The sequence below is a fragment of the Homo sapiens genome, chromosome 18 (assembly GCF_000001405.40).
Source record: "Homo sapiens chromosome 18, GRCh38.p14 Primary Assembly".
NCBI lineage: Eukaryota > Metazoa > Chordata > Mammalia > Primates > Hominidae > Homo > Homo sapiens.
The window spans coordinates 78,517,701-78,545,628 of NC_000018.10; the positions used below are offsets into that span (position 1 = coordinate 78,517,701).

The window sequence follows — 27,928 nt, forward strand, 5'->3', positions numbered from 1 at the left end:
GCCCTCAGGCGCAGAGCCCGGCGCCTTGTCCCGGAAGCGGGGCCCTCAGGCGCAGAGCCCGGCGCCTTGTCCCGGAAGCGGGGCCCTCAGGCGCAGAGCCCGCCGCCTTGTCCCGGAAGCGGGGCCGTCAGGGCTGGAAGGGGCAGCAAGTGGCATTTTCCACAAATGGCTCCACTGACATTTCCTATTCTTTTGTATTTTGCTGTATGTTTTGGGTTGAGTTCTGTCTCCCAAAAAGATACATGGAATTCCTAACCCCCAGTAGCTGTGAATGAGAGCTTATTTGGAAATACGGTCCTGGTAGATGTCCTAATTCCAGTGTCTGGTGTCCTTATAAGAAGAAGGAAGTTTGAGCACAGCGACCTATGGGGAGCCGCAGTGTGAGGATGGAGGCGGACATTGCAGGGAGGCAGGGGCCGACAGGGAGCACGGTGGCGCCAGGAGCTGGAGGAGGCAGGAAGGACCCCGAGCCTCCACAGGGAGCACAGCTGCCCACACCTTGATCTCGGATATGTGGCCTCGGTGAAGGACCCCAATCTGTCACAGGGAGCATGGCTGCCCATACCTTGATCACGTGGCCTCCAGAATTAGGAGAGAACAAACACCTGTCGTTTTCAGCTCCAGTTTGTGGCACTTTGCTACAGCAGCCCGGGGACACTCCTACTGTCCAAAAGGATAAGCACATTTCAATCAAGCAGATCTGGGGCCTGAGCTTGAGTATCCATGGGAGAGCCAGACGGGAGACAGGGACGGGGGCAGAGGGCATGGGAGAGGGAGAGACGGAGAGAGAGAGAGAGAGAGAGAGAGAGAGAGAGAGAGAGAGAATGAGAGAGGGAGAGAGAGAAGGTGGGGAGGGAGAGAGGGGAGGCACAGAGACAGAAGCAGGGCTGAGGGGATTCAAGTGCTCAAACAGCCCAGGCGTATGGGTCACCTGGCACCTCTGGAGGAGGGACATGGCCCACAGATGTCACCGTTTTTAAGAGGGCCTGCCCTGATCTCGCCTATGTCAAGGGTGACTAGAAGAAGGACGAATCGGTCCTCTGTGTAGCTGTTTGCAAACGTGAAGAGGTGCGTAAGTCCCTAATAATGAAGTAATTGCCCAAACATCTGGTTAATGTGAACAAGTGCAAGCCAGGCAGGCAGGACGCGTGCCGCAAGGCTGTGCCCACAGAGCCAGGATGGCCATCTGCTGCACACCCCACACGCGGTTGCCCGCAGGACCTGATGGGGCCGCGGAGCCCACCTTGCTCCTTTCTCCCGGAGGGAACCTGCCCCCACAGCAGGGCAGAGAACAGCGCTGCGGGTGTGGGTTTGTAGAAGGGACAGAGCCGAGAGACCCTGGGGGTCCACAGGTGGCTTCCCAGCAGCGAAGATGAGGTCAGAGAGCACCTCTGAGCCGGCACAAAGGCCCCTCGCTGGCCCCGTAAGCCCGAGGCCAGCCTCGCGTGCGGGGGAGCTGGAGCACTCGGGTACGAGGAGGGCGGCGATGGCTCACTGTCCGTTTCCTTTCTAGTAATGACTTTTGCTCAGTTTAAAACTGTGTTTTAGTCCATTATGAGGCGTAAGTACATATTAGACTGAACCACGTGAAACTTATTTTTGTAGTTATCAGCCATTTTATATGGCTCAAGCTTATCTATGTTGCTCATGGATTTAAACGTAATGCAAAGCACTTATTAAATACGTGGGAATTGCAAACGTGAAATGGAGAAGGCAGGGAATTGCCAGGGAACGAGAGAGCAAACAGAAAACTCATGTCTGCAATGCTGAAGAACAAGGGGTTCCGGGCTGGCAGGAACCTTCTCCAGGGATGGGAGCCTGGGAGCCTCCTACCCGATTGTGCCCAGAGTCCCTGTCGCTGCACATTCACTTCAAACAAAGATCGTGCAAAGGAGAAACCCTCGTCCTGTGTGCTCAGTCCCACCCCAGGTCAAAGGCTGCCTAAAGCCTTTCCACCGCCTCCACAGGGGAACAGCTGCTGAAGCCAGATGGGGAGCGACCTTCACATGTAAAGCAGCTCCCCACACCTCCCCAGCTCCACAGGGCAGACGTGCATGCGTGCACACGGGCAAACACACACAGAAGTGTACATACGTGCACTCACAAAAACACAGGCACACACAACACACAGATATGCACATGTACACAAACACACCGATGTGTGCACACACAGAAACACACATGCATAGGCACAAACACAGGTGTGTGCACACCTGCACAAACAGAAACACAGACACACACATCATACACAGACATGTCCACAGACACACACACAGGGGCACACGCACAGACATGTACATGCAGGCACACACAGTCATACCTTAACACACAGACATGCATGTGCACACATGCAGAGATGCACAGACACATGCAGACGTGTGCACACATATGCGTGCACACACACAGAGACGGGCACAGGTGTCCCTAACCTGTCAGTTCTTCCTGGATGGTGGGCTGCGTCCAAGCAAGCTGAGAATTTTCCACGTTGACTGGAACACTCGGCTAAAATGCCTTGGCTTCTCAGGTCATGGGTAAGGGTCATTGACAACTCTATTTGCCCACTTTATTCAAACCAGAGGACAAGGAAAACTACTGGATGAACACGGTTGTCTTGGGAAGAGACCTGCAGGAAGCTGCCCCAGCAGAGGTAAGCCCGGTACTAACAGCTTGATTCTCATAAAAAGGTGGCAATAATCGTGAAAGTGTGAGAAGGAATGTGGCGTTATCCATTTAATCCCAGAACTGAGGCTGGGAGTTGTCTCACAGTGACGTGGGCCAGGCCTCTCCCCAGCAAGGGCGATTAAAGTGAAACCACTTAGGACATTTGGTCTATTTCAGATCCCTGCCGGTAACCTTTTCCTTCTTTTCACCAACTCTTTTCAAACTTAGGTTTTTTTTTCCCTTCTGTCTTTGTATTTTCCCGTAACATAGCCCTCGGGGATGTTTACTTAGATTTCCCTGTTGGGGTTCATGCACTGCCCTGGTCTGTGCCATGATCTTGTTTTTGAAGGGACTCTTGCAACTTCCCAACCCAATGACAAGCACTCAATAGGCATCAAATGGTTGCTCGTCCATGAAGACATGAGGTTCTCTTTCTCTTCCAAATCGGGGGAAATAATCATGAGGAATAGCTCATGACACGACACACTATTTCATTTTTGTTCAGCCTGAGGGTCCGCCCTGGAAGATCCTCTTTACAACATAAACAATGTGATGACCATGGAATTCAGCAGCCAACTTTGACGGTGGCCATGACTGACGGGCACAGACATTTCTCTGTTCCTTCTCAGCAGGCCACGGGTTTCAGTAACGCCAGAGGCTGAGAGAGGAATTGGTCGACGGAGGTAAGCACACATCTATTGAGCACCTACTCTGTGCACAGCCCTTCGGGGATACAGAAAGGTCAAGGGCAGAGCCTCCCCTCTCTAAGGACTTCCACTACCAGGCAGAAATCGTCACATACGAGGAAAGCTTGACTGCAAAACATCAATTCATCCAGCAACCACTCACCATCCACTGGTAAGGCCATGTCCTTCCATTCTGGCCAGAGTTCCGCATCTGTGCCTCAGTGCTGGGGCTGATCTGACAGCCTGTGTCGCACACACACAGGTTGGGGGAGAGATAGTTGAGACCAAAACGTTTGTGAGATCAAAGCCATTGAGATGCTGTCACACGTTCCCAGGGGCACGGACAGGGAACTCACAGTCACTCCCGGAGGGAAGCGAGTACCAGCTTGAAGCAGCGTGGTGTGGGGAGGTCCTCCTGCCTGGGTGCTGCTGAGGCAGAGAAGGAGGAGGCTGTTCTCACTGAAGGCGCCTGCACATCTCCTCAGCAGAGACGGGGTACAGACGGGCTTTGGAGAAGGGTGGTCCCTCCGCAGGATGCGTGGGAGAGGGAGGATGCCCGGTAACAAACAGAGCTCCTGGCAAGGGTGGGCTGCGGCCCAGCCCAGAAGAGCTCCTCCTCCCTCCAGGAACCTGGATCTTGTCGCCCCGGGAGAACATGTTCCCTGCCTTCATCCCACGGAGCAGGCTTCGTGCAGAAGCTCATCCTGTTCACAGCTCTAACTACCAAAGGCTGGGAATCTACAAGCTGAATCTTCAACCCAAACTCACCTCCTGAATGCCCATCACTGTTGCCTTCTGTCACCGGCCTTCGGACACCCCAGGAGCACCTCAGACGCACCCGAGCACAAACTCCATGTCTCTCCTGTGAAGTTTCTCAGAGCCCCTGCCGTGGCCAATGCTCCTGGCCACTCCACTGTGAAATCCACAGCATCTGTCACTCTTCTGCTCCCTCCTGCTCTTGTCTCCAAACCCAACTAACCCAGCCACCTGCAAATCTCTCCCGCCCTCCCGGCCACCCCAAGCAGCCACTGGGGACCATCCTCAACCTCCCCATCCAGTCTTTTCCCTGGGCCCGAAGCATGTTCCTAAAATGCAGACACGTCACATCACTCCAGTTCAAAACCTTTCAGTAGCATTTGTTAATGGCCACTCATTTATTCCACAAAAAATTACTTAATCTTGGGCTGGGCATGGTGGCTTATACCTGTAATGCCAGCACTTTGGGAGGCTGAGGAGGGAGGATAGCTTGAGGCCAGGAATATGTGACCAGCCTGGACAACAAAGTGAGACCCCATCTCTATGAGAAATTAAAAAACTAGCCAGGCGCACTGGTGAATGCCTGTAGTCCCAGTTATTCCAGATGCTGAGGCAGAAGGATTGCTTAAGCCCAGGAAGTTGAAGCTGCAGTGAGCTGTGATTCTGCATTCTAGCCTGGAGGACAGAGCCAGGTCCTGTCTCTAATAAATAAATAAATTACATAATCTTAGGCACCAGTCACTCCAGGAGGCACAGAAAATACACTATCATCTCTGCCATATTGGATTTATCATCTAGCACAGAGGAAAACACTAGGTGGTTGGTCCAACCCAGACAAGGACCTATGGCCACACTTCCAGCTCCCGGAGGACGATGCCAGCAGCGTTGTGGGTGGAGACGCCTTCCCAGCTGCCGGGCCGCACAGCTGCAGAGCCAAGGCTCCAATGCAGAGCTTTCTGAGTTGAAAGTCTTTGTTGTCATCTCACCTCATAGAAATAATAGCTCAATTATCACTCTAAGCCACACCATAATACACTTCCATTAAAAAATCAAAATCAGTGATACATTTAAAATGACGCTTTCAGCTGGCGTTTCAATACAGACAGAGATGAAAGCGGGAAACGGCTTTCAGTTTCTGAAACCTGAGAACAGTTCCACAGTGAACATCTCATTGGGTGTCTTAGAGACACCCCAATAATGTGGGCTGAAAATGTTAATGAATTGAGCCTCTGTTTTCCTAAAGTATTCGTTTAGTAAATCCCCCCTTGGTAAAAAGAAAAATATCGCACCTGTCATAACCTGTTTCCATAATTTAATTTCACTCTCAATTCACTTGCCTCTGCACCTGAGTGAAAGGCTCCTGGGTTATTAACAGATTTCATAATTGCAGTGTTTGTCGCACAGGACACTTAGGGCAGCTCCTCCAGAGAGCGTCGAGGATGTGGCCTGACACTGGCTCCCACAGGCGTTTGTGTGATGGATGTGGGTACTGATAGAGAAGGGGGTGGTACAGACACTGATGAAAGTGTGTGGAGGTGATCTAAGTTCAGACAGGACGTGGATATGCAGGTGGCACGTGGTGTGGGTGTGGACGTGGGCATCTGTGTGGGTGTGGCTGCAGACACGGGCCGGTGATGCAGATGTGGGTGTGCGTTGGGGTGAGGCTGCGGACACAGACAGGTGCAGATGTAGGCCGAGGTGATGTGGACAGACACAGGTAGATAGATGCAGACGCACAGTGGCAAACCCCAACTGTAAGTTTGGGAAGAGCTGCTCCCCATTGCCACTGTTTGGCAGGGAGCATTGGGCACTCACGTTCCCTCCACAATGTGCAGCCACAGACACACTTGTGTCTGCAACATGAAAGCCGAGCCCACCTTCCCTGTGTGTGCCTCAAAGCTAGTGGGGTCGGGAGGATGTCCTGAGGCTTGCTGGGTGGATTCTATTGATAAAGGGAGTCCTGGTGGCCCAGGGGTGTTTTCTAGAGCAGTGGAAGGCTCGAGGGGACGCAGGTGACATGGCCATCTCTCCTCTGCTGTCTTCATCTTGACAAAGAGCAGAACAGTTTCCAGGAATCCCCTTTATATTCACAAATTTTCAGAGAGTCTGGGGGTGGGGGATGAGAGAAAACCAGACAACTCCAGCACCCAAGATCTGCAGAAGGAGGGGGCGGAAGCACCCAGCCCAAGGCCGCGTCCACAGGTGGCTGAGCTCGGTCTCCCCAGAACACCCGCGGCGTCCTCGTGGCTCTTCTTCCCGGGCCGTGTCCTTCCATTCTGGCTGGAGTTCAGCATCTGTGCCTGGGTGCTGGGCTGATCTGACAGCCTGTGTCCCACACACACAGGTTAGCGGGAGAGATAGATGCACATACAAACATACACAGAAACACACATGCACAGGGAGATAGACACACACGGATATGCACACAAACACACAGATACACAGATACAGACACACAGATACATGCACACAGAAGCAGACAGACACACAGATACTCAGATAGATACACATACTCGTAGATACACACATGCACACAGATAAACACACAGATACACATGTGCACACAGAAATACACACAGATACACACATGAACACACGGAGATAATTATATACACAGATACATCTACATGCACACACACAGATACATACACACAAGCACACAGGGATAGACACAGATACACACACAGATACACGAGCACAAACAGATACACAAAAATATAGGCACAGATACACATACACACAGGTACCTATGTGTACATACAGAAACACACACTTGCACGTAGAGACAGACACACACACAAACACAGGGATACACACATGCAGATATATACACAGAGACACACACAGAGATATGCACACAATCACACAGATACACACATAACCACACATAAATACACACATTTAGCAGCCTCTCAAAACAATATGAAATATCTGTTACTACCATCTCTGAACTTGTAGGGTCACAGTAAATACAAAGAATGCATACAGTTGAAGTAGATATTTTTCTTTTGCAACTGAAAAACTTTTTGAATATCATAGTTTCCTCCAAACAAGATGTTATTTTAAATGAAATGGAATCACAACAACATCTATTGTACCCTCGTCCCACTTCTCTCTCTCGTAAGAATAATGGATAATCATCAAACCAAGTTAATCATTGCTTTGAAGAGTATCCTCTTAGGTAGATGAGATAGATAGATGGATAGATCAACAGATAGATGATAGATAGATAGATTGATAGATTATTGATAGATGATAGATAGATGATAGATGATTGATAAGTGATTGATAGATGATAGATAGATGATAGATGATAGATAGATGATAGATGATTGATAAGTGATTGATAGATGATAGATAGATGATTGATTGATAGACATAGACTGACTCGTGATAATAGCAGTAAATCCTCCTGCGCACTAAAGTGACTTATAATCTATAAAATGCCAAAGTTCTATAAAGCACTCAGGCAAAGAGAAATTCAAATGACAAACCAGTTTATTTTGAGCTGCACCTACCTTTTCCAGGCATATTCCAGTAAAAAGTTAATTTGACAGTGGTATGAAAAACAGAAGAGAAATTGGCAAACAGCATGAGTAATGGATAACAAGTTGCAAGTTAAATACCAAACAGATAAGCACCATGAAAGAGAGGCAGAATATATCAAAATTTGTTGTGGCTCTAGGGATCGGCTAAATTTGCTGTGCTGTATAAAACACTGCTATTAACACGTCATTGCGAGAGTTCCTCTTTGAGGAGATGACTTTGGTGAATGCGGATGTTTTTCAGCACAACTGTTCAAGCACAGAAGAAGCCTAGGAGCACAGAATGCAATTTAGTCGCCAGTCCCAACAAGCAATCCCCCACCGTAATGACTCCGAAGTTTTGGAAATCGGCTGAAGTGTTTTAACTTACAGTGCTGCGCCGAGTTTGCAGACAGGACAACCTGTTGGTCCCTGGGTTTCCCTGGATAAGAAAACAGGAGCTATTTCTCTTAATTAAATCTAGAGCGAACTAGAAGGAGCAGGTCACCTGATGGGAAATACACTCCTCTTCATGTATAAGAAGTTAGTTATGGTGACTAGTGGTGGTTTCACCTTGTTTTTCTCAGTTCTTCTTTTTTTAAGCCTTCAACTTTGGTTTTAATGCCAAAAAAAACAAAAAATTGACCAAAGTTTGGCTGCATCCCAAAACAAATGAGAAGCTATTTTCTTGGAGGACATGCTCAGATATTTACAGGACTGAATTCTTTCAAGATATTTATCTTGCTGAACAGACTTAAAAATGCAAAAAATTATAAATAAATGAAGAAAGAAGACTACATTCTCTGACAATGGACAGGAACACTGGAGCTCAGATTTTCAACAATAGATGAGGTGAATAATCAGAAATATTACATAAATAGGATTAGATATTTATTTCACATTTATTTCTAGAAGTAGCAGAGTAAACAGAAAAAAAATGTTTCGTCTTTCTTGACCTAATTATCAAAATATCAAAACGTAGCTCATACCCACGTTTCGGGATTGTTCTCAGGGTTAATGAAATAGCACGTGCTAATCCTCAAGATTAGTAGCTGATGTGGGGCGGGCGACAATACATGAAATCTCTAAGACTCTCAAATATAGACTACTTAATAAAGAACTGGACGGGGTCCAGGAGAGCCGAGGGTTTCCTAGAGATGGTAAGTGGTAAACTGTGTGGCTTACTGGAAACTAAGTTTCTTCCTCAGTGTAATGATGTATGAACTTTTTCAGCATCGAGGAAATATTACTGAGACTCATTTAGGACCATGTGGGAGCTGCCCCGGGTAGTTGGACCACTTGAGACTTAACAACTAATCCATTCACCTTTGCTCTGGACAAAGGTTTTGAGTTAATCCTAAGAAAATAAATCATTTATGAATATATAGAATACTGACTAATGAAATCTATCTCACCTGCGTCTCCCCAGGTAGGAGCCAGGCAAAGAGGGCCACATCCACGCATCTGCGTTCTCGTCTGTATTCAGAGCTGCAGCTGGATAGGCTCCTAGAAGCCACTGATTTTATTTTCCTGGGTTTATGTTCCTCAAACCTTTCACACAGAAATCAGCTACGAAGAAAGCCTCTCCTTGGAGCTGTGAGAATTCCTGAAATATTTCATAATCTTTGCCATCAAAACCTTGTGTGTACTTTCCAGCTAAAAGGGAGAAGGTCTTTCCCAGCAAACAGCTCCACGCTCCAGAGCCCTCTTGTGACCATCGTCACCAATCTGACCATACAGACAAGCTCCGGGACACCTCAGCCCGGAAAAATCCAAGCTCTAAATTAAGGCAGTGACGTTTATTCTCTTTCTAAAACTCATTCATGTTCTTAGTAACTATGTCTCCAGCACAGACCTCCATTTTAAACTGAACACACTAACACCATCAGCCTTCATTCCTCCTGGGCTGCCACCCCAAATCTCCTGGCAAATGTAAATTTTTCCCTGTTTTTCCACTGCTGTTCCCTGTTCTTCCTTTTCCTGACACGTATCAGGAGATGATGTCTGCAGAGTGGAAACAAGTCTGGATTTCAATGTGTGCAGTAAAGGCCGACTAGGCAGCGTGCACTGCTCCCTGTGGCTCTGAGCAGAGGCTCTGCACTAAGGTCCCAGAATTCAGCTCTGGGACTGCAGCCCTGCCTTAGTCATAGCGAAGTCCCAGGAGACAGCCTGAACCCCGTGCTGGACCCTAGAGACCCTGGCCCTCAGTGGGGCAGTGCAGGCAGGACTGCAGCAGCGCACGGAAGGACAGTGGTCCAGGTTCAGCCAGGAGTCGCGACTCCAAGGCCGGCCACACGGTGTCCAGCCCAGGCCCCTCCACGCCCACCACTGTCGCCTGCCTGTGTGGCCCCGCCTGGCTTCAGCACTCCTGCCTGCTCCCCACAGCTCCCACTCCTCAGGCATCCTCTATGCGGGCTGGGCTTAATCTTTTTAATTGTTAAAGGTCTTTAACTATGTAACAGGATTCATTATCCACTGTGTCTGTCAAAATGCTATTTAATAAGTTGCTTTTTTTATTAACCCCGACTGAAAACAAAACAAAACAGGGTTTTTTGTTTGTTTGTTTGCTTTGTTTGTTTTTTGTTTTTGTTTTTATCACCAGCTGCTGGAGGCAGAGCCAGAGTGTCTCTGGATGGTTTCTGCTAACACGCTGTGAGAAAGAAAAGGTGTGTCTCCCAGGTCTGGCAGCCCAGCGTCCACATCTCCTGTGACCCCTCCGGCCGTGGGGTACTGCCTCCCCATAACCCAAAGCCGTGTCTGAAAGAGAAGAGCCACTCTGATCCCTAGTGTGGCTCTTCCACATGGGCCTGCCCAGGGTGGCCATTCCATACATGACTCTGGAGGGCAGGTGATGACAGCCTGATACGAGCTGACACCAGAGAAAGGCAAACCGTTCTCCGGGCTGAGGCTCCCTCCTTGTAGAATGCCGCCCACCAGCTGCCCTGCCCGTGGGAAGAAGCGCCACGGCAGGTGGGCTTCAGGGTTAGGTGGAGATGATGCTGTTGATACAGAACATGTTTCTTATATTCTACAGATTTTTAACCATTTTATTCCTGAGTACAAAAAACAAAAGCCACTCAAAAGAAACGACAGTTGACATAATATTCGGGTAAAGCATGTTTACAGAAAAGGCCCAAAGAAGTGAACAGTAGTAGGCCAAATATATACTTTCTGGATTTGCTTTAAGTGGAAAAAGAGATACAGATTCAACCTCATTGAGTTGATCTGACCACACCTCTCTGCTAACGTTCGTGTACAGAAGCTGCAGGCAGGACATGACGTCACCACTTTCCAATAACATATTCCTGCAGCCACAGTCAGAAGAGGTCCCGGCTCCACCCTTCTCAGAATAACGGGTTGTTCAGCCGCAACCTTGTTTGTCAAAAATGACAGCCTCTTTTATTAACATGGAAAATTACCTGCTTCTTCTCCCCATTCCCTTCCACTTGACTTTTTTTTTTTTCTTTGAAAAGCAGAGATAAATCCCAGTAGCACAATTAAAGCGCTAGCTAAATATTACTTTGTTGGGCTTAACGATAGATTACAATGTGTGCATAATGACCCAGTTCCAGTAATATCATCTGATTTAGTAAGGAAATGAGAGACTGCCATATGTTCACCAATAAGGTCTCCGAAGCTCTCCTTCTTGTTCTGCCGGCGAGGGTGCTGTGGGGTCCTGCAGCCTCACTGCTGCTGAACACCAAGCTCACCAGAGCCTGCACCAGGACACACATTTCCTCAGGCCAGGGCAGGAGACGAGCTGACAGCCCGTGGCCTCCTGATTGAAGTCCCTTCACGGTTAGGAGTGGATGCCTGCTGCTTCTGAGCATTGTTCACTAAACTGGAGGCTCCCAGAACAGAGGGATCTGGGGAAAAAGGAAACGAAGGAGGCATATTAAAGTTGAACACAGAACTAAAGAAACTCCAGCTCCAAAAATGAATGAGGTCGCTCCTTCAAACGCACACAATGCGACATAGCTGACAAGGCAGTCTTTTTCATTTTTAAACAAAAATTTCAATCTTGATGGCAGAAAGTTCAATCCAGAGTAGATAAATGGAAATCCCCTTACTAAGACATAACCCCAGTCTTAGCTACGTTAGGGAATTTAATAAGACAAACTGCTGATCCGTTGAAGTCAGTACTAATGAGGGAATAAGAACATTATTTGCTTCGTCAAATATTTTCAATAATATTATGCCATAATTTATTCACTTATTTAGCAAAAATTAAAACGACCCTTGGTTCCCACAAAAATGGAAACGTGTATACGATGTACTATTCTTTGTCTAAGAAAAAGGCCACGTGTTGATAAATGTTTACGTTAATAAAACAACAAATGGAAGAATGAGCCACAAAATAAGAATAGGAATCATTATTTAAAAGGTGTGTAAGAGAACAGTGGCTATACAGCTGGTATTTTTGTCTTCACTTTGAAACTTTGTGAACATTTCCTATGATTATAGAATGAACTTTGATTTAAAACTCAAATCTCAAACTACTTAAAAAAAAATCAAATAACACCAAGACTAGAAGTGCTGACCTGACAGCTGACCCACCACACTCGGCAGGTGTCTACCTTGACCAAACTGTGCTGCCTACGAGGAAGAGGAATGCACTCAGAAAGAGGGAAAATACAGAAATTCTCAGCAGAGAACTAGAAACTGCAAAAAGGGAACCAATAGAGATTTTAAAACTGAAAAATAAATACCTGAAATAAAAACTCACTCCAAAGCAGCTCCAGCGCAGCCCGTCGATGATGGGGAGGCTGTGCCTGTGTGGAGGGGGGTGCGTGGGAGCCCTCTGTGTCTTCTGCTCAGATTGGCTATGAAACTAAAACTATTCTAAAAATAAAGTCCATTCCAGGACATTGGACTGGCAAAGATTTCGTGAGTGACACCCCAAAAGCACAGGCGACCAAAGCGAAAATGGACAAAAGGGATCCCATCTTGTTAAACAGCTTCTGCACAGCAAAGGAGACAATCAAGAGAGTGAAGAGACAACCCACAGAATGGGGGAAAATATGTGCAAACTATTCATCTGACCAGGAATTCATAACTGGAATATATTAGGAGCTCAAACAAATCTGGTACAAAATCTAATAATCCAATTAAAGGTCTGCATAGACATTTCTCAAAAGGAGACACACAGATGGCAAACAGGCATATGAAAAGGTGCTCAACATTACTGATCATCAGAGAAATGCAAATCAAAACTACAAAGAGACATCATCTCACCCCAGTTGAAATAACTTTTATCCGAAAGACAGGTAATAACAAATGCTGGCGATGATATAGAGAAAAGGGAACCCTCATACACTGTTGGTGAGAATGTAAATTAGTACAACCATTATGGAGAGCATATGGAAGTTGCTCAAAAAACTAAAACTAGAGCTACCGTGCGATCTGGCAATCCCATTGCTGAGTAGGTCCCCAAAAGAAAGGAAGAGAGATCTGCTCTCCATGTTCCCTGCAGCACAATTTACAGTAGCCAAGACTGAGAATCAACTTAAGCATCCATCAGCAGATGAATGGATAAAGACAATGTGGTACATGTACACAATGGAGTACTATTCAGCCATCAGAAAAGAATGGGATTCTGTCATTGGCAATAACATGGATGGAACGGGAGGTCATTCTGTTAATGAAATGAGCCAGGCACAGAAAGACAAATTTCACATGTTCTCACTCATTTTTGGGAGCTAAAGACTAAAACAATTGAACTCATGGAGATGGAGGTAGAAGGATGGTTACCAGAGGCTGGGAAGCGTAGTTGAGGGGGAGTGTGCATGGTTAATGGATACAAAAAAAAATAGAGTGAATAAGATATAGTATTTGACTACAATCAACAATAATTTATTGAACAGTTTAAAATAAGCATAATTGGAATGTATGTAACACAAAGAAATGATAGATGCTTTAGGGGATGGAGACCCCATTTATCCTGATGTGATTATGACGCATTGTATGCCTGTATACAAATATCTCATGTACCCTCATAAATATATATGTATGTTTATATATATGTTTTCATATATATATTTTACATAGAGAGAGCTACTCTCTATATACGATATATTTATGTATTTATTATATATATGAGGGGGTTACTTGAGAGATTTTGATACAGGCATACATACAATGTGTAATAATCATATCAGAGTAAATGGGGTATTTATCCCCTCAAGCATTTGTATATATTTTAATATAAATTATATATATTTGTATATAATAAATTTACGTATCATGTATTTTACATATACTTTTATATATGATATATATTACACGTATTTTATATATTATTTATATTTTTTCCTTAGGAAAAAATCCCATATTTACCCATAAAAATAAAAACTTGAAATAATGCACCTAACAGACTCAACAGCAGAATGAAGAGGACACAGAGAAGAACCGGAGCCTCAAGCACAGATGAATAAGCACCACCCATGGAAAAGGAGCAAGGAAACAACAGTGAACGGGGCTCAGAGGCCTGTGGGGTGATCGGGAAAGACCAGACTGGCCGCTGGAGTCCAGGAGACAAGAGTGATCGGGACACGGAATCGTGCTGGAGGAAATGACACGAGAAAGCGTGTCAAATCCGGCAGAAAACATGAGCTTGCAGATTCAAAAGTCTCCAAAAACTAAACAGGATCAGAGCAGAGAACATGGCCCGAGGCATTGGAATCAAAATTCTGAAAGCCTAAGTTTCTGAACCTAGCCTGAAAGCCCAATTTTCTAAGATAAAACTATGAATAGTTTTAAAACAGAGAAAAATGTAAAATTATGTAGAGGGGAACAGTGATGTGAATCACCAAGCATTTCTCATCAGAAACCACACAGTCCAGAAGGAAGTGGATCCAAACCTTAAAATGAAAAAACAAAAAAGTAACAATCCTGTACAGATAAAATACAATCCAAATAAAATAGCAATGTAAATTGACAGTTGATTCTGAAATGTATATGGAAATGTCAACAATCTAGAATAATCAAGGCACTTTTAAAAGAAAATAAATGAGCTGGAAGATGTATTGTACCTTACTTCAGGTCTTAACAATTCTGCTATATTAATCAAGGTAGTTTGTTTTGGTATCGGTGGAAAGATAGAGAAATAGATGAACGGAACAGAAAGGAATCCAGAAACAGGGCCCCACACACATGGTCAACTGAATTGCAATTAAAGTGCCCAAGAAACCCGCTGGAAAACGCATAACCTTTTCATTAAATGGTGTTGATCAGCTGGATATCCTATGAAAAGATGAGCTTTAACTGTTACCTCGCATCACATGCAAAATTTAATGCAAAATGAGTCACAGACCTAAATGTAAAACCTAAAACTCAACAAGGACTCTGCAGAAAAAGTATTCATGAAAATCAGGTAGTTTTAGGTTTCTTAAACAGAATGCAAAGAGCTCAAATTATAAAAGAAAAAAATGGATAAACTAAGCTTTATGAAATTTAAAAACTTTTGCTCTTTGAAAGACACCACTGAGAAAATGAAAAACAAGACACAGACTAGAAGACCATGTTTACAACACATACACTAGATGAAGAAATTGTATCTAGGATATATAAACTACTTTTATAACTCAATAATGAGAACACTAACAACCCACTAAACGTTGCACAACGATTTGAGCAGACACATCGTATGGAAGGATGGTCAGCTCCACCAGCCGTCAGGGGAGTGTAAGCTAAACCACAGCAAGGTGACGCTGGGCCCATTCACTCTGCTAGAGTGAGGAAGATTGACCACAGGCATGTAGGTGAGGATGTGGAGCCCCTGGAACTCTAATGCATGGATGGCTTGAACCATGGACAGGTCATTTCGGAAATCAGTTCAGCAGCTTTTTTTTTAAAGTTAAACATTTGCCCAATGATAAGAGCCAGACCTTTACTCCTAAGAGAAACAAAAACCTCTGTCCATGCAAAGAGTAGTATGTAGATGTCCACGACATTTAATTCATAACAGCCAAATACCAGAAATAATCCAAATGCCCCTCCACAGAGGTCGGGGCTGTAGTGAGCCGTGATGGCACCACCATACTCCAGCCTGGGTGACAGAGTGAGATCCCATCTCAAAAAATAATCAGAATAAAGGAAATTCTTTAGTCAGAATCACTGAAATAATAACTTCCTCAAATCTACCCCCTCCCCTGTGGAGGGACTTATTTCTGGGAATACCAATCCACCTGCCCTCCTGGAGTTGCACTTTCAGTTGTATATGGATGCTTCAGACTATATGACTTTCACAAATAAACCAAGGCAATTATGCATTGTGGTACATGCTCAGAAAGTTCTACAAATACTCAATCTTGAACATTATGATAAATTCTGACAACATCACTGCTCCCTGTGGGTTATTTTCCTGTGGCTGCCCAACGTGGCTGTCTTTTCCAAGTGCAGATGGATGCCACCCCCTTATCCCTGTCCCCTCTCCTGTCTGATCTTCAGTTTGGCCAGTTGAGAAGATGTGTTCTGTCCCTTTAAAGGGACTGGCTGGGCACGGTGGCTCACACCTGTAATCCCAGCATTTTGGGAGGCCAATGCGGGTGAATCACCTGAGATCAAGAATTCGAGAGCAGCCTGTCCAACATGGTGAAACCCTGTCTCTACTAAAAATACAAAACTTAGCCAGGTGTAGTAGCGCGCCTGTAATTTCAGCTAGTCAGGAGGCTGAGGCAGGTGAGTTGCTTGAACCTGGGAGGTGGAGGTTGCAGTGAGCCGAGGTCGCACCACTGCACTCCAGCCCAGGTGACAGAGTGAGATTCTGTCCAAAAAAAAAACAAAAAAAAAAAAAAACGGGGACTGCCTGTGTCTTGCAGTGACTAACACAGAATAAAATTGTCAGGCCACTCCCAGTCAGGGCAGCCCCCCACACAGCTGTGTCTCCTTCATCTGGAAATCCTAGTCATGGAAAGCCAGCCACATAGGGTACCCCAAGGAATGCACCTCTAAGACCCTTGAGGGAGTAATCTGTCTTTGCACCTTTGAGAAATGACAGCCACATTGGGCAGCCACAGAAAAAATAATCAACAGGTAGCGATGTTGTCAGAATTTATTATAATGCTCAAGATCTAGTATTGCAGAACATTTTTTAGAGTACATCACAATGCATAATTTCTTTGGTTAATTTGTAAAAGTCATATAGTCTTATGTGCCCGCATGCGAAAGCTAACTGATAAACATGTTGGCTTCGTGTGTGGATACTGTTTCCACTCTGTGAAACCCAGAGAATAAGTGATTTCAACACTGCTGAATTCCAGAGACCCCTGTTGCCTCTAGAGCTGGGCACCTGTGCAAGTTACGCTCAATCACCGGCTCTCATATGCTGGAAAATACCCGTGGCCGATTGGCTCACACTGAGAATTCTCACAATGTAGGATGCGCCCAAGCAGCATCGTTAGACTCTGGATATTCCAGAACAAGATTTCTGGAACTGTCTCCTCCTCCTGGGAAGGGCAGGGTGGGTGGGGGATTTGCTTGCTGGCCCTATGCCTCATTGAGCCGCCTGTGCCATAGGCAGGGCCAGAGGGGAAGGGGGCCTCTGCATTTTCCTTGAGCCACCTGCATTTCTGGTTCAGTGTTGACTGCTGCAGACTCAGAAGGAAGAGCAAAAGAGCAAAGCCTTGAAGATTATTGCTGATACATGAAGGGCTTTTTTTTTTTTTTAAGACAGAGTCTCACTCTGTCGCCCAGGCTAGAGTGCAGTGGCACAATCCTGGCTCACTGCAACCTCCTCCCCCTGGGTTCAAGAGATCCTCCTGCCTCAGCCTCCCAAGATGCTGGGATTACAGGTGCCCACCACCACACCTGGCTAATTTTATATTTTTAGTAGAGACAGGGTTTCACCATGTTGGCCAGGCTGCTCTCGAACTCCTGACCTCAGGTGATCCACCCTCCTCGGCCTCCCAAAGTGCTGGGATTACAGGCGTGAGCCACCGTGCCCGGCCCTGGGGGCTTTTAAATGCATGAAGAGGCACCATCACTGAAGCCATTTCCTGATTCTTCTCACCCACAGCCTCTCGGCTTTGGAAGTCTCTCCTGGGAGTGGCTGTGATGTGCCCTGACTCTGTTCCCATCACTAATTTTGCTCTTCCAATCATCATTTCAGCTCGTGAATATTCAAATAGAAGCTGGGTTTGGCTTTCTTTATAAAAATTTTGTGGTAGTGAAATGAGTACATTTGTAGTATATTCCTATTTCTTACAGTAACTATTGTATAGGGTCATGTTTGATCTAAGAATGAAAAGAAAAAGTCCTTTTCTGATTCTTGCAATAATTCTTTTGTAGCATAAGATCAAATATCCCCCTACAAAAATACTTACCACAAGAAACAGAGCACTTTAAAATTTGTAAGTCATTTTTCTGGTGAGATCGATAAGCTCAGTCATCTAAAAATAGAGTGGGAAGTCAAGAAGAGGAAGAAACCTTGAGAATTTGAAGCCTGCATTGCTGCATTTAAAACAACAGAATCAGCTATCGACTACGTCAGTAAAATATAAAGAACAAGAATCTCTCCCATCCATGAAAGCAAAAGATAGATTAAAATTACAGCTGAGAGGTAGATGGACTTTGAAATTAATGTCCACATAATAGAACTTAAAGAGGCAAAAGTACATAGAGAAAATAACCAAGAAAATAATTTTAAAACCTTAACTTCCCGTGGGATCTAAACTGTGTCCCCCAACTTTGTTATAAATGTACACTAAATTCAAATTTTAGTTGTTATGTTGAAGCCATAACCCCCAGTGCCTCTGAATGTGTCTGTGTTTGGAGATAGGGCCTTTCTAAAGAGGTAATTAAGGTAAAATGAGGTCACAGGGTGGGCTCTGACCCAGTCTGGCTGGTGTCTTCATGAGAAGACCGGACATACACAGGGGAAACGCCATGTGCAGCCATGGTGGGGAGACGGCTTTCACCCACAGAGAGGCCTCCGAAGAAACCGGCCTGCTGGCACCTTGATCTTGGACTCCCAGCCTCTAGAACTATGAGAAATAGTTCCTGCTGTTTAAGCTAGGAAGGCTGTTGTATTTCCTTACGGCAGCCCAGCAAACTGATGCCCTTTACCAGATTGAAAATTGCTCTTCCATCTGCAAATCAAAAGACAACACCACGTTCAAGAACAGTGTAAGAATGCAGGGGCTTCCACCCAGAAAGAGCCCACCAAGGGCAGAGTGGAGGGAAAACAATGCCAGCCTTTAGGCAGGGAGGAAGGTGACCCGCAAACAGATCTCATGCTTTTACCACACTCATGCTTTTTGCCAGGCACTAGGGTTCAAGAAGGAACAATCTGTAGGCTTTTGAGAGGAAAATATATTCATCCAAGTTGGCCATCCTTCAGGTGGTAGAAAAAAGCCACAACAGAAGGAGAGAAAGGGAAGGAGGGAGGGAGGGAGGGAAGCAGGGAAAGAAGGAAAGGAAGGGAGGGAAGGAAGGAGGGAAGGAGCAGGCATCACAGAGAAGCAGATGCTCATAAACCACTCTTCCTACGCTGCAAAAGTAGATAAAGGTAAATAAATAAAAACCTCAAGAATGGCGGATTCACAGCATAATAGAAGTAACTGTAAGGAAAGAAACCACTAAAAGTGAGATAAATCCAAACAATTGTAGTATAGCATGAAATTTAATTAAAAGAAGATGATTAAAGAAAAAAGGTACAATAATTTAAAGTAAATAACTGAATAGTAATCTGGTTCTAAAATCCAAGATTGTGTCAATACACACTAATAATAAGAACAAGAATTAGAGATATTTCTAACTATAAATGTACAAAATAAGTATATTAATTTCTTTTTAAAAAGTTTCATAACAGGAGCAATTTAAGTTTAAATCTTTTTAAGACATACAGATTAACACTTCTAGGATAAAAACAGATTGTAATTTTTCATTTGCAAGGAAGAAAAATATCAAAAACCCTATAGGTTATACAGAAAAGTAGCTAAAGTAAAAGAATAAATAAGTGTAAAACAAGAAAACAGAAGTTAAAACAAGCTATATTAACAAACAATATTAAAAAGTGAATAGGTTAAATGCCACACTTAAAGGTAAAGACTCTCAGATAAAACAAATAAGTAAAAATCAATAATTCAAACATGGTGATTCTAAGAGACAGAAAGGCAAGACTCCGTATCATAGCATCCCTTCTGACACTGAAAACACAGGACACCAAATTAATGAATGTGTGAATCAATCATTTATATCCACTTAAGGAATACTATGTCTAATTATAGAAATCATATTCTCAGAACATTCAGGAATATTAAAAATTCTCATATCTTTTTAATTTTTAAAGCCAGTTATGAGACACAGAATTATACTGACTACATAGAAAATACCTTTGTTCTCAGTTGGGACATCTCAACTTCATCAGTTTGTGAGTCCTTCCTAGATTAATTTATACATTTAATTGATTCCAATAAAAATATCAGTGACATTTTTATGGAGCTTGACAAGTTGATACTAAAGTTACATATAAAAATACACACGTAAGAATAACCACATTGCTGGTGAGAACGTAAAATGGTACAGCCGCTCTGGAAATATTTGGTAGTTTCCTTTTGAAACTAAAAATGGACCTACCGCGTGACCCTGTGGTTGCACTCTTGGGCATATAACATGGAGAAAAGAAGGGACAGGCATGACAAAGTTGCATGGACCCCCACGCAGACTCGCACAGAGACACACATGTATAGCTGGTGACAACTGTCCACACTTTACAGATGCATGGATGTCAAGCTCCCGCCTGCGACCCTGCACTATGGGTTTGCAAGATGTCACCCGTCGGCCGGGTGCGGTGGCTCACGCCTGTAATCCCAGCACTTTGGGAGGCCGAGGTGGGCAGATCACCAGGTCAGGAGATCAAGACCATCCTGGCTAACACGGTGAAACCCCGTCTCTACTAAAAATACAAAAAAAATTAGCCGGGCATGGTGCGGGCGCCTGTAGTCCCAGCTACTCGGGAGGCTGAGGCAGGAGAATGGCGTGAACCCGGGAGGCGGAGCTTGCAAGGAGCCAAGATCATGACATTGCACTCCAGCCTGGGCGACAGAGCGAGACTCTGTCTCAAAAAAAAGTCACCCTTCATCGGAGGCTGTGAAGGAGGCATGAGACCTTCCTGTGTGTGTGCTTTGCAACTTGCTGAAAATCTGTAATTATTTCAAATAAAAATGTTTTGTGAGAAACACATTCACCCATCCAAACCCAAAGAATGGACTCAGAGACCCAAAGAACAACGGAAGGAAGACCTTTAATGGCGGTCTTGAAGATGGCGTGTCTGGTAGGCAGGCACACCTGCGGCAGCTACAGCAGGTAATTTATCTCCTAGCACGCAAGTCCCTCCTCCAGTTCCCCACTGATCAAGTACTGTGGGGTTACAATCTTCCCGGATGTCGCCTAAGTTCCATATCCCCTTACAGGGTCATACCCCGGTCCCCTTTCCTGCTTAAGTTTTGATTTCCCAATAATGAAACTTTATTCCGTTTTATGGGCTGTCCCCTCCTCTGCATCCTGTTTGCTTATCCTGACTTTTGCTGCACGTGAGCCATGCCGTTTGTCACATGTGCAGACTGGCTACCAGTATTTAGATCTACCATGCCTTGAAAATGGACCATGAAAATGTTTTCCCACATGTTTACAGTCATTTCTCACCCTGACCTAGTAGCAAGACTCTTAACAGATCAGAGGGGCAGCTCCCCTAATCAGGAGTTCCTTGTCGCATAAAAACTATGAAGAAAATTCACCAGTGCCAAGGAGAAGCAGTAAGTGACCGCACGTCTCCACTCAAGCCAGCTCTGGGAATCCAGGAGAGCAAGGAACAGAGGCTGAAGAGGGCGTGGGTGTGAAGCTTCGCAGAAGAGGTGTGAGGTGCTATGGGACCCATGGCCAAGGGACGTCTGCACACCGCCCACTGCGCCCTGACCCTGGGGTGCCGGCGCCCGGCATGACTGCCTGCCCTCTCCCCCGTGCCCTGGCCACAGCCAGCCCTCCCTCCCTCGTGATGCCCAGGCACAAACCAGGCAAACTTAAAAGTGTTGGGGGAGGGTATCGGTTCAGCAAATCATTAATGCCTGGTTTGTTTCTTTTTTTGTTTTTGGTTTTTTTGTTGTTGTTTTTTTGTTTTGAGATGGAGTCTTGCTCTATCGCCCAGGCTGGAGTGCAATGGTGCAATCTCGGCTCACTGCAACCTCCGCCTCCCAGGTTCAAGTGATTCTCCTGCCTCAGCTCCCAAGCAGCTGCGACTACAGGTGCGTGCCACCACACCCGGCTAATTTTTGTATTTTTACTGGAGACAAGGTTTCACCATATTGGCCAGGCTGGTCTCTAACTCCTGACCTCGTGACCCACCCTCCTCAGCCTCCCAAAGTGCTGGGATTACAGGCGTGAGCCATCGCGCCCGGCTGCCTGGTTTGTTTTATTCATGACTCATAAGGGTCCCTCAGGGGCCACCAGTTTCAGTTGAAGATGTCATTTTGCTTTGTTGAGTTTGGTTTTGTTTCCCACTGAGCCTAATGCACACAAATGGAGCCAGGCTAATGGAGAGGAAGGAGAGCTTTTTCCAAACCAATAGAGAAAGGCCCACAGGAAATGTTTAGCAGATGTGGCAAACCCAGACAGTTATGAAATCATTGTTCATTCATAACTTTACGTAAGTCTGAGCATGCAGACAGTTGCTTTGCTTTATTTTGGTTTTACTTTCTGTTTTCTTGCTTGAGAAGAACCCTAGAGCTTCAGGTAAACTCAACCCCCTCTTCGCAGAAATGTCACTCATGCTCATCACAGATGACGCAGATGCCGAGGAAGCCACAGAGAGCAATTGGGCACAGGCGGTAAGTACCAGATTGTCTTGGGGTACTTACCAAAGTCGTGTCCCCGAAAAAGACGACTCCAAGTCCTAAGCCCTGGAAACTGAATGTAGACTTATTTGGAAAAGGGGTCTTTGTGGCTGTAATTACAGTAAGATGAGTCGTACTCGACAAGGGTGGACCCTAAATCCAATGGCCAGTGTCCTTTGGACAAAGAATGGTCGCTGAAGATGGAGGTGGAGGCTGGAGTGACGTGGCCACTGCCCAGGAGCACCGGGGGCACGGGACGCTGGAACAGGCAGGAAGGCTCCTCCCTGAGAGACATCCAAGAGGGGATGATGGCCCTGCACACGCCTTAGTATTGGCTTCCCACCCCCAGAGCTGCAAGGGAATCAGTGCCTGCTGTTTTAAGTCAACTAGTCTGTGGCACTTGCTTGGGGCAGCTCCAAGGAACCCACGGCTGCGGGTTAAGGAATGTGCATGCTCAGAGCAGAGAGAGGGGCCAGGGCTAGGGGAGGCAGGGGTCCCTCCCCAAGATGCTTGGACTGAGTCTTGCCTGTGCCTCTGGAAATATTTTCCATTTAAAGGGAAATATTTTCTACTGACCAGGTTCAAAACTGGCCTGCGGGAGCATGGGAGTCTTTTCCTGCATGGGGCCTGCAGAAGGAAATGCAGCCCGCAGCTCAGCACGGCCTCCAGACGGCCCTAGTCTCTGCGTTTCCTCAGAAACTCCTTGCGGGAAGAACACACATGTTCCAGGCCAGATGCTCTTCCCCACGTCTATGGACAGAGCACTGATCCCAGTGAGGAACGTCCACACACCACACAGCAAAACCCTTCTCACCGTGAGAAATTGACAGTTGCCTGAGAAAGACACTGTCGTGTAGGAAACAAAGCCTTCATCTCAGATTTTAGAGAAATCCCCGCAAAGAAATGACAAAAGCAGAGTGGCTTCAGCGTTCTCCGTAGACACAGATGTTCACCTCCACTGTGGGCATCTTCAGGCAGGAGCTTTGCCTCACCCCTTCTCTCGTGTGCCTTCCAGGACTCAGCCCCCTCGTGCCTCCCGGAATGCAGGGGTGCCATTGGAAAGATGGAAAGTCTAAGGAGGGTACAAGTCACAGCTGCTCTGGTCCTCAGAGCTTCCCTGCACTGGGCGTGTTGAATGCACACTCTCTACCCCATAACATACCATCAGATGCGGGAATATGAATGAGATCATCCCAGACTCCATGGGGATCACAGAGCTTGGGAAAGGAATGTCAACACTGGAAGGCAGGTCTGAGTCCAAGTCTGTGTCCTCAGCCTAAAATCTTCAGATTTAGTAAATAAAAACATGGGTTGCCTGGTTAAATTTTTACATAAGCAAAGAATAGTTTTTAGCATAAAATGCTGCATGCAATATTCAGTGTCCTGTATTTCGTCTGGCAGCCTCACCTCTCCGGCACAGCTATGGGAAGATGCTTTTGTCCGCCCAGCCAGGGCCAGGATGACACCAGGGACGCTCAAACGTCTACAGCCAATTTGGTGACCCCCTTTAATTTTTGGAAATGCCACTGCTGGCCCCTCACAGTGGAAATTCTTCATGTGCAACCAGCTCATAAATATAGTGTGTTGGAGGCACCTGGATGGTTAGGACTCAGGACAATATTCTCCCCAAATATTTTCTCAACATCCATCTTCCTGGTGGCAATTAGTGTCTGAGATTCTCTTTAACTTTTCCTTGCCGGGGTGACTGCAGTCAGCCGTCAAGGCAAGAAAAGGGAAGTCTGAAAAAGTGTAAAACTGATCATCAAAACACAAAACTTTACGTGTTTTTCTCTGAAAGCGCATGAAACTGGCTGCTTAGCTTCCAAATGGAAACCCCACACTGCATGTTCTCCGAGGCTTTTCTGCTTTCTTTTGACATTTTGACACTGAGCTCTGAAATAATAGTGTTAACTGTTGATCTTTTTTTCCTTTGGAAATTGGCTTTTGACACTAGACAGCTGGAAAATCTGAAAGGTTAGCGCACATCTGGTGCGTCTACCTCAATATAAATGCCAATGTTCCATCAAAGCTTTTCACAGATCAATGAAATAATGATCACAGGTGCCAAGACACAGGGATTCACTAAGATGGACAGCCACACAGAATTATGACAAGGTTGGTGGTTGTTTTTGTTTTGCTTTTCGTGTTTTGTCTCTATTATTCATGGAGATTTGTCCCTAGAAACACCAGAGAGAGCCTACAGTGCCAACAGCACAGCTCTCTGGCAGGGCCCCAAGAGCCGCGGGAGGGCAGGGCAGGTTCCTGGCATGCCTGAGATGACTTAGCACACTGTGAACCAGGGCTTGTGAACAGGGAAGTGTTACTCAAGATTGAGCTTGACTTTACAAAAGCAAGCTTGTTCCCCTGGAAGGCTTTCCAATTTTGATAAACTGTACTGTGCATTCATGCCTGTTCATTTGAGTGACTGCAGATCTTAAAAGAATCGTTTTCGGAAGACAAAAATGCATGTAAAATAAGGCTGGGCGATGTGAGAGGTGACACTGTAACATTGGGAGCTGGTCCTGCTCTGGCAACAGGCAATAGCTTCCTCAGTCTCCTGCAGAGCCAAGCAAGGAATGGTTTTGCTGGGGAGTTCTGCAAAATTTAATGAGAGAGGCAGGTGTGAGGCCACGTCACAGCAAGGGAACCTGCAGTTCACTTCAAATTTGGGGAAGAGTTTTGAAGCCTTGACAACAAACCACCTCTTTTTCAACATCCTTCTTCCTCTTCCTCTCTTCAGCAGCAAAGCTTCTTATTCCTACAATACAGGGTAGAGAGAGACAACTGTTTGAACTTTCAAATTGTACACTGGAAGACGAGCACCATGTTTGCAATTGATTCTGCCTCCTTCCAGCTTAGAGCCTTCAGTAGCAGACACGAGCAATTTCCTACCCTGCTGAGCTCCATGGGCTCCCAATGGATCCTTCAAAGCTGAGCTCCTGGTAACCTCACAGAGAATCGCTGTGTGGGAAACCAGAGCAGGAGGCTGGAGGCAGGTAAGAGCCGGGCCATCCACATGGTAACATGGAAACTGGGTTGTTTTTCCAGGGCTTGGACCAGGCTTGGGCGTGTGGCTGCTGCACGTGAGAAATGTCCCTTCTCCCACACACGCCAGTAGCCACACCACTCTCTGAATAGGAACACCTGCTCTATGTACCCAGCCCAATGTATTACAATATTTATTAGGCCCTCATGCTGTGGCTAGGTAAAGTGAAGTGACATACATTTTATGAAATTTGTGTCCCCATGTCTGTACCTTCATTCTGACGTCACTGCTCTTGCCAAGAACAGATCAAAACCGTTGCATGTTTGGGTTTGTTACTCCCTTGTTCTTCCCACTGTGCTGGCAAGAGGGCGCGGGCGATAAATGAGGTCAGGAACACCTGCTCCATTGCAACTGCTTCTGGACAGACCAGACCTCAGGCCACATGCTCACCAGTGCTGGGGTTGAGCCCTATTCTGTGACCCCACCACAATGAATATTGAGGCAGAAATCGTGAATATGACAAGGTCCTGCCCTCATACTCCTTAAGAAAAAGGAAAATATTTTAAATGAAATCATCTTCATTGTTACATTTACAAATGAGGGATAAAAACCAAACACATAGAAAAGTATTTTAAAAATTCCTGTGTACCCCCAGCGACATGTACTGTGACACCGTGAGCATTTTGGCGTCTATCCATCCAGATACGTTCCTACCTGCATGCAATGGCAGGAAAGATCCAGATACAGATTTCCATGCCCAAACACCCTACACCCAGTTGATGTCCCAGACCTGCTATCCCATAACCGACTCTTCCCTTAACAGCATACCTTACATGTCCTCTTAGTCAACGGACACACATCAGCTTCGTCTTCAGTGTCTGTCCAGTATTCGTGCCATGCCACTCCATAATTTCTTCACAAAAATCTCCCATTTCAGGCAATTTATGTTTATTGTTAAGCCAGTCACATTTAGCAGTGTGGGGTCGTGTACCAACTTTAGTGACACCAATGTTAATCAGTTCTGATAACCACTACATTGGACAAGCCAGGATTTTTTTTTTTAATTCCTACTTGTTTCAAACAACAGTACGTGTTTACAAGAAGGCTTTTGTAATTCTATATTTGCAAAAAGTGTGTATGTGTCTGGTTCTTTTCTGCGGATACATTTCTGGAAGTGCAATCTCTGGGTTGGCATTTTGTACACTTTAAACCTTTCTCGTATGTGCCCCCAAATCGTCCTCCAGAAAGTTGGCACTGGAGCACACCACCCACAGCGGGGTATGAGGCCTGAGACGAAAGTGAATCCTGTGTCTTCTTCAGAGACACAGAAGCTGCTGATTTCTTCCTGTTCTGGAGACTGACACTTAAATGTGTCTCAGAAGTGGTTTGGGGCAAAGTAGGGGCAAAAATTTTCATGTGGAGGCAACAAATTTAAATAACCAAACACAATGAACCAAAATTATCGATTCTCTGAGTCATTTTATAACTGAATAGTCAATTCTCTGAGTCGTTTTATAACACCTGGGACAGCGTCGTGGAGACTGAACACGTGAGTTCTCTGAGTTGCTTTATACCACCTGGGAGAGTGTGGTGGAGATTGAACACATCAATTCTCTGAGTCGTTTTATAATGCCTGAAAGAGCATCATCGAGACTGAACACGCGGTGAATTGCAGCCACTACTCAACATCATGCTTTTCACGTCTAGTCTGGATGGAACATTCTAGAAGGGCTCTAGGAGACACGTGGATCCTGGAGTAAGTTGGGTAAAGAAACATGTTAAAGGAAGGTAGCTCTTATTTTACCAGAGCCTGTCCTTTGGTTTTTGTTAAATCCAGAGTATCTTAAAATTTAAGAATTACATTTTCAGGTAGAAGCTTCAATACTGTTTATTTGAATAAAATATAAATAATTTATATTAACAAGGCTGCTTAAAGTTTATTGAATTCTCAATTTTTTATGACCTTATCATCTCCTTATGAAATAACTGTTACTGAACAAGAATTAAGTCTTATTGTTAGTGATCAAGTTTCCCCCCAATCCCCTCTTGCAAATAGAGCTTTATACCTTAATGCATTGACCATGGTCAGGCTTTGAGGATCAAGGGCCATATTTCCTAGCCCTAATAGTTCCACTTATTACTTTCACAAATAATAGACAGTTATTCTTGTTTTCCTTCTAGAAACATTGAATTTTTTTCCTCTGCTTTGCATCATTTGAGATAGGTCCTTAAGAAGCAGCTAAGACCTGGAACTCTAGCACGGTGGAAAGCTGAGGCAGGAGGATATCTTGAGTTCAGGAATTTGAGACCAGCCTGGGCAACACAGTGAGACCCCATCTCTGCAAAAAAAACAAAAAATTAGCCAGGCGTGGTGGCATGCACCTGTAGTCCCAGCTACTCAGGAGGCTGGCTGGAAGGATCACATGAGGCTGGGAGATTGAGGCTGCAGTGAGCTGCAATCACACCACTGTACTCCAGCCCTCCAGC

At 45.5% G+C, this 27,928-nt stretch overlaps 1 long non-coding RNA gene across 1 annotated transcript, besides 1 other annotated feature; it reads left to right on the top strand.

Moving 5' to 3' along the window:
* The first annotated feature begins 874 nt into the window (after window positions 1-874).
* Window positions 875-4,546, top strand: LOC105372219 (uncharacterized). Its single transcript, XR_935670.1, has 3 exons — window positions 875-1,068; window positions 2,577-2,647; window positions 3,167-4,546. It is a non-coding gene; the product is annotated as an uncharacterized LOC105372219 (long non-coding RNA).
* Window positions 24,440-25,639: an enhancer, noted in NCBI's record as "CDK7 strongly-dependent group 2 enhancer chr18:76302140-76303339 (GRCh37/hg19 assembly coordinates)". NCBI's record gives its function as "activates an origin of replication core promoter dependent on BRD2, BRD4, P300/CBP, MED14 and CDK7 cofactors, with strong dependence on CDK7, by STARR-seq in HCT116 cells {active_cell/tissue: HCT116}" and the evidence as "EXISTENCE:reporter gene assay evidence [ECO:0000049][PMID:35650434]".